The sequence below is a fragment of the Homo sapiens genome, chromosome 6, assembly GCF_000001405.40.
Source record: "Homo sapiens chromosome 6, GRCh38.p14 Primary Assembly".
NCBI lineage: Eukaryota > Metazoa > Chordata > Mammalia > Primates > Hominidae > Homo > Homo sapiens.
Genome location: NC_000006.12, coordinates 43,326,337 through 43,340,686, shown reverse-complemented (window position 1 = coordinate 43,340,686; position 14,350 = coordinate 43,326,337). Strand labels below are relative to the sequence as shown.

At 42.7% G+C, this 14,350-nt stretch overlaps 1 protein-coding gene and 1 pseudogene across 1 annotated transcript in view, besides 2 other annotated features; one reads left to right on the top strand and one right to left on the bottom strand.

The window, feature by feature from the left end:
* Nucleotides 1-4,617, top strand: part of ZNF318 (zinc finger protein 318) — a 33,578-nt gene extending 28,961 nt beyond the window's left edge. Inside the window, exon 10 of the mRNA NM_014345.3 lies at nucleotides 185-4,617. Coding sequence (NP_055160.2) covers nucleotides 185-3,529 — 3,345 coding nt within the window. The 3' untranslated portion in view covers nucleotides 3,530-4,617. The remainder of the gene's footprint in view (nucleotides 1-184) is intronic.
* Nucleotides 1,596-1,645: an enhancer, noted in NCBI's record as "active region_24597". NCBI's record gives its function as "activates an Ori minimal core promoter by ATAC-STARR-seq in GM12878 lymphoblastoid cells {active_cell/tissue: GM12878}" and the evidence as "EXISTENCE:reporter gene assay evidence [ECO:0000049][PMID:35858748]".
* Nucleotides 11,882-12,176: a silencer, noted in NCBI's record as "tiled region #12728; K562 Repressive DNase matched - State 7:EnhWF". NCBI's record gives its function as "represses a minimal TATA promoter and a strong SV40 promoter by Sharpr-MPRA in K562 cells {active_cell/tissue: K562}" and the evidence as "EXISTENCE:reporter gene assay evidence [ECO:0000049][PMID:27701403]".
* Nucleotides 12,178-12,681, bottom strand: RPL34P14 (ribosomal protein L34 pseudogene 14; annotated as a pseudogene).

Genomic DNA, 14,350 nt, shown 5'->3' with positions numbered 1-14,350 from the left:
TTCCATATAACCTCTAAGTTCTCCTCAATCCTAGTGGGAGATGCTCAGCAGATAGCATCCCGTATGTCCTTGAGGAAGATAATTCTGGGGATTTCTACTAAATGAATTCTAACAGTAGCGGGGCCAAGATTTTTTTCTCTTGTATTTTCACCAGTTTTTGAGTCTTTATCTTTTTTCTTCCCAGAAATATGTGGATGAAAACCCATTATATGAGGAGCGGCGGAATCTGGACCGCCAAGCTGGCTTGGCTGTGGTCCTAGAGACAGAACGGCGACGGCAGAGTGAGCTAAAGCGCAAACTTAGTGAGAAACCAAAGGAGGAGAAGAAAGAAAAAAAGGCAAAGGCTGTGAAAGAAGTAAAGGAGGATGACAAGGTCTCTGAGAAATTAGAAGACCAACTCTCTGAGGGTAGGAACTCCCCTGAAAAAGCTGAAAATAAAAGGAACACTGGCATCAAACTCCAGTTAAAAGAAGAGGTAAAGAAGGAATCACCAACATCATCTTCTTTTGGGAAATTCAGCTGGAAGAAGCCAGAAAAAGAAGAGGAGAAAAGTTCATTGGTGACCCCAAGTATCTCTAAAGAAGAGATTCTAGAAAGTAGTAAGGACAAAGAGGATGGCAAAACTGAAGCTGGGAAGGCAAAGCCTATCAAAATCAAGCTCTCTGGGAAAACTGTTGTTGCACATACCAGCCCTTGGATGCCTGTTGTGACAACTTCCACACAGACTAAGATCCGACCCAACCTGCCTATTCCATCCACAGTACTCCGCAAGTCATGTTCAGCCACAATGAGCAAGCCAGCTCCTCTTAACACCTTTCTGTCTATTAAGTCCTCTGGAACCACTGCTAAACCTCTGCCAGTGGTTAAAGAGTCTTCAGCTGATCTCCTCTTACCTCCAGACATCATCTCCAAAGCATTTGGAGGGGAAGAGGTGATTCTAAAAGGGTCTCCAGAGGAAAAAGTGGTGTTGGCTGAAAAGAGTGAGCCATCTCATTTACCTGAACAAATACTACCACCTCCTCCACCACCCCCACCTCCACCACCTCCACCACCCCCCGTTATACCTCATCCAGCTGCCCCGTCTGCTGCTCAAGCAAATGCTATCTTGGCTCCAGTAAAATCAAACCCAGTTGTATCTCAGACTCTCAGCCCTGGCTTCGTGGGTCCTAACATTTTGAACCCAGTGTTGCCTGTAGCCATCATGGCCTCAGCACAGCCAGCTGCCATTCCTTCTGATGAGACAGCTCCTGGGGTGAGTGAGAGTGACCGAGACCAGACCCTGTTCTCTGTGTTAGTACGTCCTCCACCACCCCTCTCAAGTGTGTTCAGTGAACAAGCCAAAAAATTAGAGAAGCGAAATTCATGCTTAGCCACAGCCAATGCTAAGGACCTGTATGACATATTCTATAGTAGTGGTGGAAAGGGGGCCCCTGAGACTAAGGGGGCCCCTGAGACTAAGCTAAGTGGTGGTCCATTGGCCAATGGGGAAAATAGCAACCTCTCTAGAACCAAAAGTTCAGACACCTCTTCTACTTCTCCTTTGAACAGCAGTGCATCCCAAGAGGAGTTGCATCAAGATGAGGGTTTGGTCGCTGCTCCTATAGTTAGCAACTCTGAAAAGCCCATTGCAAAAACTCTGGTGGCCCTAGGGAAATGGTCAGTTGTAGAACATGTAGGCCCAAAAAGCACAGGCAGCACCTATGGCTTCCTACAGCCTCTGACAAGGTTGTGCCAAAGCAGGCCTTATGAAACAATTACCCCAAAGACAGACACTTTGGCCATATGGACCTCTAGTTCCTTCCAGAGTGACACTAGTAGGGATATATCTCCAGAGAAGAGTGAGCTTGACCTGGGAGAGCCAGGACCACCTGGTGTAGAACCACCTCCTCAACTGTTAGATATACAGTGCAAAGAATCTCAGAAGTTGGTAGAAATCCACCTCAGAGAATCTGTTAACCAGGATAAGGAAAGCCAAGAGCTCCGTAAATCTGAGGATTGTAGAGAAAGTGAGATAGAGACAAACACTGAACTAAAAGAAAGGGTAAAGGAGCTGTCTGAGGGGATAGTTGATGAGGGAGTAAGTACCAGCATTGGACCCCACAGCATAGATGATTCTAATTTGAACCATGGAAACAGATACATGTGGGAGGGAGAAGTAAAACAGCCCAACTTGCTAATGATTGACAAAGAGGCTGAACAGTCCAATAAATTGATGACAGGAAGTGAAACTCCAAGTAAAGTAGTGATCAAATTGAGTCCACAGGCTTGCTCTTTCACAAAGGCAAAATTAGACTCATTTTTATCAGAAGCTAGGTCTTTACTCAACCCACAAGATACACCTGTGAAAATTTCTGCCCCAGAGTTGCTGCTTCATTCCCCAGCCAGATCAGCTATGTGTTTAACAGGTAGTCCACAAGAGCAAGGAGTTTCAGTTGTTAGTGAGGAGGGGCTAGAGAATTCAGCTCCAGAATCAGCTTCTAGAACTTCTAGGTACAGAAGTCTCAAACTCAAGAGAGAAAGATCAAAAGACTTTCAAGTTAAAAAGATCTATGAGTTGGCTGTTTGGGATGAAAACAAGAAGAGGCCAGAGACCTGGGAGAGCCCAGAGAAACCAAAAACAGAAGCACTGGAGCTACAAGATGTCCATCCAGAGTTAACAGTGACAATAGAAAGCAAGGCCCTAGAAGACTTTGAAGCTACAGACTTAAAGGTAGAGGAGCTTACTGCCCTGGGGAATCTGGGGGATATGCCTGTTGATTTCTGCACTACTCGGGTAAGCCCAGCACATAGATCCCCAACTGTCTTGTGTCAGAAAGTGTGTGAAGAAAATTCTGTATCACCTATAGGGTGTAATTCCTCCGATCCCGCTGACTTCGAACCAATCCCATCTTTTTCTGGGTTTCCGTTAGATTCTCCCAAAACCTTGGTGCTTGACTTTGAGACAGAGGGTGAACGAAACTCACCTAATCCCAGGAGTGTTAGGATCCCTTCTCCTAACATTTTGAAAACTGGACTTACAGAAAATGTTGACCGTGGCTTGGGGGGCCTAGAGGGAACACACCAGGCCCTTGACCTGTTAGCAGGAGGAATGATGCCTGAGGAAGTAAAAGAATCTTCCCAATTAGACAAACAAGAGTCACTCGGATTGGAATTAAAAACAATTAATTCTGCAGGCCTTGGGCCATCTCCTTGCCTTCCAGACCTTGTTGACTTTGTCACACGGACCTCTGGAGTTCAAAAAGATAAACTGTGTTCTCCACTCTCTGAGCCAGGTGACCCTTCTAAATGTAGTTCCCTGGAGTTGGGGCCATTACAGCTAGAAATATCGAATGCATCCACCACAGAGGTGGCAATTCTGCAAGTAGATGATGACAGTGGCGACCCTCTGAATTTGGTTAAAGCTCCAGTGTCAAGGTCCCCTCCAAGGGAGCAGGTAATTGAAGACAATATGGTCCCTCAGGGAATGCCTGAACAGGAAACTACAGTTGGTGCCATCCAGGACCACACAGAATCCAGTGTTCACAACTAAGAATAAATACCTAGAGCTACTTGTGAGTGAATCATTGGCTTCTAGAAATCAGATGCCCAGATGATCCAAGACTAGTTTGTTATCTCATCTGGAACCTACACCAAGAGATGCAGTCAGCATCTTAAAGTAAATGTTCATGGAAGCTAAAAAATTTACCTCCTTTCCTTTTCCCTTTCCCCTTAAAACACCAGACAAATCGATAACAACTTATATATATATATATATATCTGTAAAAATGTATTTTGTTAATTTTTTTGGCCAATTTATTTTCTCCCACTTTGTCATTAAAATCACATGTCTAACTGGCTCACCACATAGTGTGCTTTGATTGTATTTTGGCTTTGACTCTGCCATTTCTGAAATGTGGGGGAGGATGGAGGCAGCTGACCTCTCCAGTTGCTGTGTTGTATTCCTACCCAATTTCCTGGGCAGTTGATGCATCTCTGGGAAAAACACCAGAAAGCTTGCTGAAATGGAAAACTTGGAAGAATTGTTCATCTCTTAGGCTTCCATTTGGATGGGCCTGCCTTAACATTGTTTGAAATGCAGCGTGAGTAGCTCTTTTGTTTACTGTTTACACCCCTTATTGGCATGTCAACTCCTGTACTTCCCTTACTCTGTTGCCTTTCTTGAGATGCATTGTCCTGCTAACCCACAAACCTGTTTGGAAATAAACATGGAAGAATATCTGGCAGGCTTACTTTTAGAAGACGACAAATCGGTAAGGCTTATTCATGGTTCATTGCCAGGAGCAGATATGCTTTTGAGATCACTTTTATTTTTGAAATGGCCTTTGTTCATTGTATTGTGATCCAATAACACTTTGTATTAAATTGTTTAGCAGCCATTTGTGTTGTGAAGGGGTAGAAGATCTCTGAAACTTGTCTTGAGATTGAACTCATTCCCTGTTCCACAAACCCATATGTATCCTTTCCTCTACCTCCTCCTTTCCCAATTAATTTCAACCATAGTACGATGTTTGGGGTTGTATATTTTGTTAAAAAGATTAAAGAATTTATGAGTTGGCTTGGACAAGTTTAACTTTATTTTTAATGTGTTAATTACTTGGAATAAATGCATTAATCTCATGTTTCCTTCTGGATTTTTGTTTTGAAATCACACACATTTGAACTCCAAAGGAAAACTAGAACAGTGAATCCCTGCTGCCCTATTGTCTATCCGCACCCGCAACCATGCTTTCCTCACTTGTCAGAACTACTTCATGCCAGAATGTTAGGATATATAGTCTGCCCCAGCGCAGCCTGGGTGGGTAGTGAGTAGGCAACAGTTGTCTGGTATTGGTATCTTCCTGTTGTGAAGCTTTTTATATACCTTTGTGTTGACTCTCCGTAGGATTTTCTGGGAACTGAGCTCCCCTAGGACAATCAGGTTCTTGCTCTTGGGAATTAGGGAGCTCAGTCCTCAGATTTTCTCTGTCCCAGTTTCCTCTTGTATCCCTGTTGTCAGCAGTTTATAACCTGACTCAACAGGGCCTTCGGAGTCTTATTTACCCACCTGTTCCTCAAAGATAATACAAAATTGCTGATCTGGATTAACCTCCCCGCTCCCCCAATTTTTTTTTTCCTGTTTCCTTATGTACAGAGCTATAAAATCCCTAGGTCAACATTGGGAAGGATTTTTAATTTTTTTGACTAATGTCAATTTAGAAGTCATTCTGGCCTCTCTTATGTTATGGAAAGGACACAGATTTGGGAGAGCTAGATCCTTGACTGTGCCTCAGTCATTTACCTTGCTGTGATTTTAGACAAGTTAGTTTACCTTACTGTGTCACAGAGTTGTTTTGTGTTGTTTCCTTTGAGATAAGAATCGTTATCTTTATCCTAGCACCAATATGTACAGGGTCAGGGTATCCTGCCCATGTCACCTTTCTAGCCCTGGTTTTTAGGACAAAGCCTGAGTTCAATGCAGTTTTCTTGCTTGGAAACCATAGACTAACTCAAAAGGTGCCATTTAGAAGAGTTTAAACCCAAGTAAGCTTCAGAGAGATTTGTTTTCCCAGAGAACTACTCCCTCCCTGTTATAGCAGGTTATCTATAGGAATTCAGGGAACATAATTTTTAATGCCAGTTTGTGCTGATTTTCAGTCCTGTTCACTTAGTTCCACTTCCCTTTAGGGGGAGACTGATGGTTTTAGAGAAAGAGTTGGGAGGAGGTAACCATATCAAGATCCCAATCCTAACCTTACTTCCTCAGAGGGCATTGAAATCTTACCCTGTAGGTTAGGAGGGGGCTACTTGAGTGAGAAGAGAAAAAGAGGCAAAATTTATTGTAGGAAGGGCAGAACTAGTTCAGGTAGCTAGGGCTGGAGTACTTTGAGCCTAAGCTTTGGTAGTAACTCCTCTTGTATTCTCTGGATAACTTCAGGATTTACACCAAAGGCATCTACCAATCCGGCTTTTTCAAAAATAATGCTCACTTAAGAGTTACGGGAGTGACATTCTTTATATCTTCCTTGAACCAGCAGAGGGAGAACTTTGAGGATTCTGTATTCTGGGCAGGAAGTGTTGCTGCCTCCTTCCTTTTGGTTAGTGGGATCTAGCTTTGGAACCTATCCAGAGAAGACAGGTGAAAGGAAGGACAGAATTCTAACCCAGTAGCTGGAGATAGAGCATATTTTTTTGTTGTTCTCTACTATCACAGTACTGAATAAACTTTCAACTTAGGAGACTTAGGCACATGGAAGAAATGGGCCCTGAATTTTAAATGCAGCTTATGGTGTAATATAACTATGTTTTAAATTTTACAAACATCAGGAACAACTTTTATCAGATATCCTCAATTGTGAGAAGCAGATGATCAGCAATTATGTTTAAATTTGGGCAAATACCTAATTTTACCTAAGGTGTATAACCCGCTAAAAATTCCCCCTGGCCTTGCAAATGGGGGGCTTCCTGCTTTACAAGCCATATTATATTCACAGGGCACATAATATTCTGCTAATATTGCTGAATAATATAGTTAAGTATTACTTCGCCCATGACACTTCATCTTTCTAAAAAGTCAGAAAGTTAGTATTTTGGTAGCAGAGCATGCCAGCACATAGTCAATTTATCAGTCTGCCAGATTCCAGGACTGAGGAAGAATGGGGTGGGGAGGTGGACATACAGGACACATGCATCCAATAGGAACATAAAGTGTAATTTTAAAAATTGGAGGAGGGTTCAGAGAGGATGTAGCCTGTAACAGAAATAAGTGAGGTAGTTTCTTTTACATATATATATATGTATATATGTATATAGTTTTATATATACTATATATAGTATAGTTTCTTTTATATATATAATATAGATAATATATATATAAACATATATAGGCAAGCTTTGTTGATATATTAATATATATCCCTAAACCTTGGTTCTCACCTTAACAAAGCTTACATACTAAATCTAGGATAAGAACCTAAACAAAGTCTTCATTTATTAACGATTTATGTGAGAACATGGACAAATAGTTTTGTGAGCACATCTCTTTAGAGTTTAAAATTGCAGTAATTTTTATGTAATTTTTAACTAAGTTGTGTATACAATATTCATCGATAAGCCACGAAGTTGAATTTATAATGAAAATCTTCTACTCTTAAAATCACAACTCTCCTGATTTGCCCTCAACCCATATACACTTCCAGAAGAATACATATAAAACATGTATGTTTATGTTGTAGCATTTAATGTGGTTGTAATTTTACATTTATGTTTCTTTGATTAATATATGCTCCCCTTAAGTACATGATAAACTCCCCAAAGCAAGAAGTCTGTCTTTGCTTACTATTTTTTTAATCATTGTATTCACAGTGCACAGTTGTCTGGCATATAGCAGGTACTCAATAAAAATTCATTGAAAGAATCAATGTGGTAATAGTAGCTGTTTTTATTAACAAATTGTGAATACTTAGCAAATTATAAGTCAGTAAAAACTGTAAATTGCCTATTGTATTTTCTGGGTGTTTAGCACTCTAGAAGCCAGCTGTCCTCTTGCTTCTGTCCTGGGTCTTTGTATACAAAGCACTGTATCATTGAGGCATGTCAAGGTTGCCATTGGTTCCCTCACTTCAACAGCATTCTGGAATAATGGCACCAGGCCATGATGGGAACACTGCTTCTGCAGCTCCTAGAAGAGAAACTGAGGATGAGAAGGAGTTAAACTGACCTTACAGTTAGCAAAAACAAAAGGTTTTGGGGATCCAGTTTTCAAATGGCCTCCTTTTTCCTTCCAGCCAGACTTCATAAGCATGCTGAAGTCAGTCAAACCCCAAACCCCTCTGATTTGGTTGAAGAAGTAATTCAACAGTTTATGGTCTCCAGCATCCTCTTGTCATCTCATCAAAACTAAATCGTAACCAAAAAAGGTTGCCTTTGGGAGAGGGAAAAGGAATGCTATCACTTTTTATTTTGTATCTTCTGTTTTGTTTCAACATTGTGACCATGAAAATGCATTTTCTATAAAATATAAATGTTTTATAAACTATACACATGCACACACATACATGTATAAAATGATAACATGTAGTAAGGGTTATCCAGTGCTGTGGAATTATAGGCCAGTTTTTTTTTTACCCCTCTGTATACTTTTCTGTATTAAAATTATTTTTTTTAAGTTGTGTCTCTCCTACTCAGTGCATCCCTGTTTTCCTTCACACCTCTTGTCTGTTTTCCATCATTACAAATAGGTCCTGCTGCTTTTCCCTCAAGACTTCCTAAATTCTTCTATTCCCATCGATGCTGGGCAACATACCTTCTTCAGGAATGTCTTACCATTCTTTCCTTCTTCCTCTCTTCCTCTTCCCATTCTTTCCCCAACCTCTGTTGAACTGGTTGTTCATATTCATTAATGTTGTACAAGCACTTGGACATTAAATGATATAAATCAAGATACCTGTTTCACAAAGTAATACAGGTACACAAAAGATAAAAAAAGTCTGTCGCATGCAAAAGGACAGAAGATAACATCTAGATGTAATGATTTAAAGATTTACAGGCTTTGGTTCCATTTGTGGAGGATTAGGCAAGAAAGAAGTTTTGTAGAAAATAAGGGAAATGAGTATGTTTAAGGGAAGTGAACGAACAGGGTGAAAACAGAGGCAGAGTTACATAACGGGAGAACAAAAGGTAGAGGATGTGGAGAAAGCAGAGATAAAATCAGCCATATTAAGATATTATTTTATTTCGTCTCTCTGACACTCTGTCCCTGCTAAGTTTCCACCCAGCCTTCCTGTAACCACCTTCCTAAGGATGACTATGGTCACATTGTTACAGACTCTCACCCACTTATCTTCCTTTCTTTTCAGGGGCAATTCCAAAAGTCTTCAGATTTCCAAAAGGAAGGACTGCAGCAGACATTTCTGCCCCCAGAAAGGCAGGGATAGAAACCACAGAGGCCACGGAAATGATGGGTGCCCTTGTGGCCAGTAGGCAATCACCTGAAGGATCTGACTTCCAGAAGGTGGGTATGACTGATGGGGGTGGGGATAAGTTGTAGAGAAGATCCTGTCATTTTAGCTGCCAGGAAATGGTGAGTTGGGTGAGTGAATGTGTATATTGTTGTACCTGTAGAGGATGAACAAGATTAGAATGTACATAGAGGGTATGTATTTTAGACTTGCCACTCCTCACCTTATTTAGCATTGAATAAATTATTCCTGAAGTCCCATATCTCATTTTGTGCCATGATACTTACATTAAAGCTGTAGAGTTCAGGTCTTCATATTCTTCCTGGGCCCTAGTCTCCAATGTGCCCCTAAGTAGAACATCTCTTATCTCAGTTCTAGCCTCTTTTATTGGTCCATACAAAGACAAAGTAAAATTGGGTATGTCCTTAGAAGATTGGGGTATGAGTAAGCAAAGGAGACTCAGTGAAGCGGGGACAATCACAAAGGAGATGTTTGATCCTTCAATATCAGACTTCAGGGCAGCTGTCCACCAGTTTTCACTCTGTCTTGTACTTGTCCCACACACATTGAAACCTCTGGTACACAGTAGCAGGCAAGCATCATTTCAAAACACCAAGGAAACCCCTTACTCTCTGCTCATTTAAAATGCCAGTAGAGGACCAGGCATGGTGGCTCATGCCTATAATCCCAGCACTTTCGGAGGCTGAGGTGGGTGGAATGCTTTGAGGCCAGGAGTTTGAGACCAGCCTGGCCAACATGGTGAAACCCCATCTCTACTAAAAATACAAAAATTAGCCAGGTGTGGTGGCGCACACCTGTAATCCCAACTACTCAGGAGGCTGAGGCAGGAGAACTGCTTGAAACTGGGAGGCAGAGGTTGCAGTGAGCCAAGACCATGCCACTGCACTCTAGCCTGGGCAACAGAGCAAGACTCCGTCTTGAAAAAAATAAAATAAAATCCAAGTAAGGGCTGGGCATGGTAGCTCACACCTATAATCCCAGCACTTTGAGAGGCCGAGGTCAGCAGATCAGTTGAGCCCAGGAGTTCAAGACCAGCCAGGCAACATAGTGAGACCCTGTCTCTACAAAAAATAAATTAGTCCGGCATGGTGGTCCATGCCTGTAGTCCCAGCTACTCGGGAGGCTGAGGTGGGAGGATCGCTTTGAACCCTGGAGGTTGAAACTGCACTGAACTCTGATTGCACTATTGCACTCCAGCCTGAGCAACAGAACAAGACCCTGTCTCAAAAATAAATTTAAAAAAAACTAAAAATGGGCCAGGCGCGGTGGCTCATGCCTGTAATCCCAGCACTTTGGGAGGCTAAGGTGGGTGGATCACCTGAGGTCAGGAGTTCGAGACCAGCCTGGCCAACATGGTGAAACCCTGTCTCTACTAAAAATACAAAAATTAGCTGGGCATGGTGGCATATGCCTGTAATCCCAGCTACTTGGGAGGCTGAGGCAGGTGAATTGCTTGAACCCGGGAGGCAGAGGTTGCAGTGAGCCTTGATTGGGCTACTGCGCCTCAGCCTGGAGGACAGAGACACCAACTCAAAAAAAAAAAAAGGGCTGGGTGTGGTGGCTCATGCCTGTAATCTCAGTACTTTGCGGGGCCAAGGCTGGCAGATCACTTGAGGTCAGGAGTTCGAGACCAGCCTGGCCAACATGGTGAAACCCCATCTCTACTAAAAATACAAAAAATTAGCCAGGGGTGTTGGCAGTCATCTATAATCCCAGCTACTTGGGAGGCTGGGAGGCTGAGGCAGGAGAATCGCTTGAACCTGGGAGGCAGAGGTCACAGTGAGCCAAGATTGCGCCATTCCACTCCAGCCTGGGTGACAAGAGCGAAACTCTGTCTCAAAAAAAAAAAAAAAAGAAAGAAAGAAAAAGAAAAAAGGAAAAAATGCTAGTGGGTACCTTTTTTTTTGGAGGGGGGACAGAGTCTTACTCTTTCGGCCAGGCTGGAGTGGAATGGCGCGATCTCAGCTCACTATAACCTCCACCTTCCGGGTACAAACAATTCTCGTGCCTCAGCCTCCCGAGTAGCTGGAATTACAGGCGTGTGCCACCATGCCTGGCTAATTTTTTTATTTTTAGTAGAGATGGGGTTTCACCATGTTAGCCAGGCTGGTCTCAAACTCCTGACTTCAAGTGATCCACCCGCCTTAGCCTCACTAGGTGCTGAGGTTACAGGCGTGAGCCACTGCGCCTGGCCAAAAAATGCTAATAGGTACTTTTATTCCTCTTTGTACTTTGGGGCTATGGGCTCAGAAACACAGTGGGAATGAGAACCAGAACCTAGTAAAATTTAGCTGACCTTTAAATCCTGTAAACTCTGAGATTTATTTAAATCTAAGCTGTGTCAATTCCAGATTTATCCTGAAAACTATTAGGCTGGTTTTGTTTTTTTGTTTTGTTTTGCTTTTGGGTTTTTTTTTGAGACAGAGTTTCACTCTGTTGCCCAGGCTGGAGTGCAGTGGCGCGATCTCAGCTCACTGCAACCTCTGCCTCCTGGGTTCAAACGATTCTCCTGCCTCAGCCTCCCAAGTAGCTGGGATTACAGGCGTGTGCCACCATGCCTGGCTAATTTTTGTATTTTTAGTAGAGACAGGGTTTCACCACGCTGGCCAAGCTGGTCATGAACTCCTGACCTCAAGCGATCCGCCCCCCTCGGCCTCCCAAAGTGCTTGGATTACAGGCGTGAGCACCACGCCAGGCTGGTTTTGTTTTTGATTTGTAAGTCCAGGCATTTTTAGAGTCCTGGAGGTCTAGTTTACTGCCCAAATACATCTATGGTTTTAGTAACTTTCGGGAATATTCATGATATTAAGCAAAGCCATCAGTGGAATAAGAAGTCAATCAAGGGCAAAAAGTACCTCAGGGCCTCATGCTGCTGATATATTAGTTAAGGATTACTTATTCCTGAGGCATGACCTGGTGGATGAAGCAATGGAAAGCAACCTGGTGCCAGGGCTGCCAACACGTTGGTCACCACCACTTTCTCTCCTTTGTTCCAGCCCAAGATCTGTTTCTTATCAACTGTCACATTCCTCTGTTCAGGGACAGTCAAAGATGTTGGTCACAAGCTTTCATACAAACTATGACTCACAGCCCTACCTCCATCACCTGCTTTGCTGCTTAGACCTCAGTTCTCCAATGGTGTCTGAGCTGTACTGATCTGGGGGATAGGTGAGGGAAAGGGAACATTTTTTAGAATACTGTTTTTCCTTTCGGACTTCTTTTTTCTGTTATTATTATTCAAAAAGCTTCATTTTTATTTAGCTTTCTGACTCTTCAATACTTTTACAACAATTTTCTGCTCTTCAATAAGGAAAGCACGCTTGATCTTGTCATGAACACATTTAACACACATGGAACCACCATAGGCCCTGCTGACATGTTTTTTTTGTTTTCCACAATCTCATAAGAACTTTAGGTCTCACAGTACAAACCCCTTGAAGTCTGCCTGGGCACACACCACATGCAGAATTTGGTGCTTTCCCAACCTTCTTGGTATAAAGGTAAACAATTATATTACCAGGGGTTTGGGACAGCCTGGTTTTGTTAGAGGCTATATTGTAGGAAAGCCTATGATGGTATGTCAAATGCTGGACCATTCTGAGTGCCCCTACACAAGCTCAAAGGACTGCTCCTGAGAGCTCTAGGCTTCCTCAACTTTTCGATGGTGGCCGATTGTAAAGGAAATATAGACAGGGGAAAGAGAACGTCTGCCATACCTCTAGACCCCTTTGGACTTCTTTTATTTTATATGAATTCACATGTATTATGAATGATGAAATATGTAAGATCTTTTTTATTGAATTACAGTTAATATGTTGAATTTCACAAAACATAAAATTCACCTTTATTTTTTTGAGACAGGGTTTCACTCTGTCGTCCAGGCTGGAGTAGTACAGTCCTGCAATCATGGCACACAGCAACCTCCACTTCCTGGGCTCAAGTGATCCTTCCACCTTAGCCTCCCAAAGTGATATGATTAGAGGCGTGAGCCACTGTGCCTGGCCAAATTCACCATTTTTAAGTGTATAGTCCTGTGATTTTTCGTATCTTCAGTGTTGTACAACTATCACCACTATCTAATTCCAGAACATTTCCATCATCCTCTAAAAAAAAACATATACCCATTAGCAGATACTCCCAGTCACCCCTACTCCCAAGCCACTGGCAATCACCAGTCTCCTTTCTGTCTCTATGGATTTGCCTATTTTGAGCATTTAATATAAATGGAATCATACAATAAATTTCTTTTGTGTCTGGCTTCTTTCACTTAGCATAATGTTGTCAAAGTTCATCCATGTTATACCATGTATCATTGTATTTTATGGCTAGTTATTCCACTGTATGGATATACCATGTTTTGTCTACTAATTGTTGGACATTTGGGCTATTTTCATATTTTGCCTATTATGAATAATCTGTGAACATTCATGTACAAGTTTTTGTGTAAATATACGTTTTTAGTTCCCTAGGGTGCACAACTAGGAATATATAGTCATATGGTAACCGTTTAACTTTTTTCTTTTTTTTTTTTTTTTGAGATGGAGTCTAGCTGTTGTTGCCCAGGCTGGAGTGCAATGGCACGATCTCAGCTCACTGCAACTTCTGCTTCCTGGGTTCCAGCAATTCTCCTGCCTCAGCCTCCCGAGTAGCTGAGATTTCAGGCGCCCGCCACCATGCCCAGCTAATTTTCGTATTTTTAGTAGTGATGGGGTTTCACCATGTTGGCCAGGCTGGTGTCGAACTCCTGACATCAGGTGATCCATGCGCCTCGGCCTCCCAAAGTGCTGGGATTACAGGGTGAGCTACCATGCCCGGCCCCATTTAACTTTTTTCTTTTTTTTTTCTTTGAGACGGAGTCTCGCTCTGTCCCTCTGTTGCCCAGGCTGGAGTGCAGTGGCGCAATCTCGGCTCACTGCAAGCTCCACCTCCCAGGTTCAGGCCATTCTCCTGCCTCAGCCTCCTGAGTAGCTGGGACCACAGGCGCCCGCCAGCACTCATGGCTAATTTTTTGTATTTTTAGTAGAGATGGGGTTTCACCGTGTTAGCCAGGATGGTCTTGATTTCCTGACCTTGTGATCTGCCCACCTCAGCCTCCCAAAGTGCTGGGATTACAGGCGTGAGCCACCGCACCCGGCCTTAACTTTTTTCTAAGTAAACTTTTATATTAAAGTACAATGTTCATATTTTAAAAACAGGCTGGGCACAGTGGCTCATGCCTGTAATCCTAGCACTTTAGGAGGCCAACATGGATGAATCTCCTATCCATGTTGGATAGGATCAACATGCGGGAGGATCACTTGTGTCCAGGAGTTCAAGACCAGCCTGGGTGAAATAACAAGACCCTGTCTCTACAAAAAATAGAAAAATTAGCTGGGCATGGGAGCGGGTGCTTT